Source organism: Homo sapiens, chromosome 3, assembly GCF_000001405.40.
Source record: "Homo sapiens chromosome 3, GRCh38.p14 Primary Assembly".
Taxonomy (NCBI): Eukaryota; Metazoa; Chordata; class Mammalia; order Primates; family Hominidae; genus Homo; species Homo sapiens.
In genome coordinates this window covers 105322396-105323961 of record NC_000003.12, presented here as the reverse complement: position 1 = coordinate 105323961, position 1566 = coordinate 105322396, and the positions used below count along the sequence as shown (strand labels likewise).

The 1566-nt window shown below is 37.2% G+C and overlaps 1 annotated feature.

Moving 5' to 3' along the window:
• Window positions 660-929: an enhancer, noted in NCBI's record as "active region_20192". NCBI's record gives its function as "activates an Ori minimal core promoter by ATAC-STARR-seq in GM12878 lymphoblastoid cells {active_cell/tissue: GM12878}" and the evidence as "EXISTENCE:reporter gene assay evidence [ECO:0000049][PMID:35858748]".

Sequence of the window (1566 nt, the reverse complement as noted above, 5' to 3'; positions counted from 1 at the left end):
AAAAATAAAGGATATCTGAATATATCTGAATATTAGTGCCAATATTTAATGATGAAGTAAGTTCCTAATGTGTTCCAGGACCTTTATAAAGGTCATATGACTTTTTATAAATAGAGAAACTGAGGTTTAAGGGGGGGGAAATAAATTTGCCAAAGCTCACATCACTGGTTTACTAGAGTCAGATTTTGAACCCACATCTCTTTGTAGCAAACCTCATCCTCAATTCACTATACCACACTGCTTTCTGCACAGAATCACTTCCCAGTCACTTAGTGACTCTGCTAGTGTTTCTGTCCAGCTTTGGAACCTCTTATATGTTCTTTGGTCATCTTCTTTTTGTTTCTTTAATCAATGTTATTACTGCTATCTCACGTTATCCATAGTGGTTTGATCCAGGTTGATATGTTCACTGTAATGAACTTATTTTTTCTATTTAAAATTGCTTAGAATCCAGTCCTTAAAATGTTAGAATTTTGGCTTCAATTGTAGAGACCGTGGTGCTATTGCTGTTGCTCTTTCTTTTTCTTGTGTTTTTACTCAAATCACAGCATACATGAGGCCATATATTTTCTGTATCTCTGAGTGTTTTCTCCTGTACTGAGCTACTGCTGCCCTGGAAGAGTTTGATAGTAAGAAGACTGTAGATCATCTTTTTTTGTTGTTGTTCTCTCTCTGTCTCTCCCTTCTCCCCACCTTACACTTCCTCTGTTGTATTGCCCTCCCTTTATTATATAGGGAATTAGAAATCTAGCTGCCTAGGGACTCTCATACTTCTCATCTGAAAGACCCACTATGACTCATCAAGGGTATTTTTTTCAAAAAGAAAGGTGTTTGCCCTCATGTTTTCACTTAAGCAGATGTTTTTTTCTTTCTGCTGTGTTGTAAAGGGGAGTTTGTCAGCTGAGTTGCCAATCTCTTTTGCCTTCATGCTGAAGCAGCCACAAAGCCTTGCCCTTGTAAGAATGAGGGCTCCCAAAGGCTTCTGCAATTGTTTGGTTAGTTTCTGTGAAGGATACTGATTAGAAATAAAAGATCCCGAAGCTCTTTAAATTAACTAAAGCTAATTTAAAATATTTTAAATGAAATATCTTCAAGAAATACGTTAAGTGATTCCACCTCTTTTATGTCCCCAGAATTATTACAGGGTTAAGCAGAGAATTTGTCCCTCGGTGATTCATACAGATACACCAAAGGAGGGACATGGCTTAAAGGGTTAGTGATAGTGAAAGAATGGAGGATCACTGCTCATTATACTGATTTCATTTATGTATTCTTTCAGAGATTTTCCACAATGTATTTTCATTTTGAGGGTTTTTTAAGCTACAAGATAAATTATAATAGAGTTCATGTCATTATTTTGACTTTCTCATGAGGATGGGAGTGGGGATTAGGGCTGGGGATAGTCACCTCTTTTGAGCACATGGTTGCAAGGAAGAAGGTGGGAACCCAGATGAAATTGGAGCACTGAGATGAGGAAGGTGGCATTGTTGAGTAGAGTTGGGAGTCAAGGGATAAATTATTAATATATGCTGAAAATTGTATCTCTCCTACACATGGTCTAAGGAA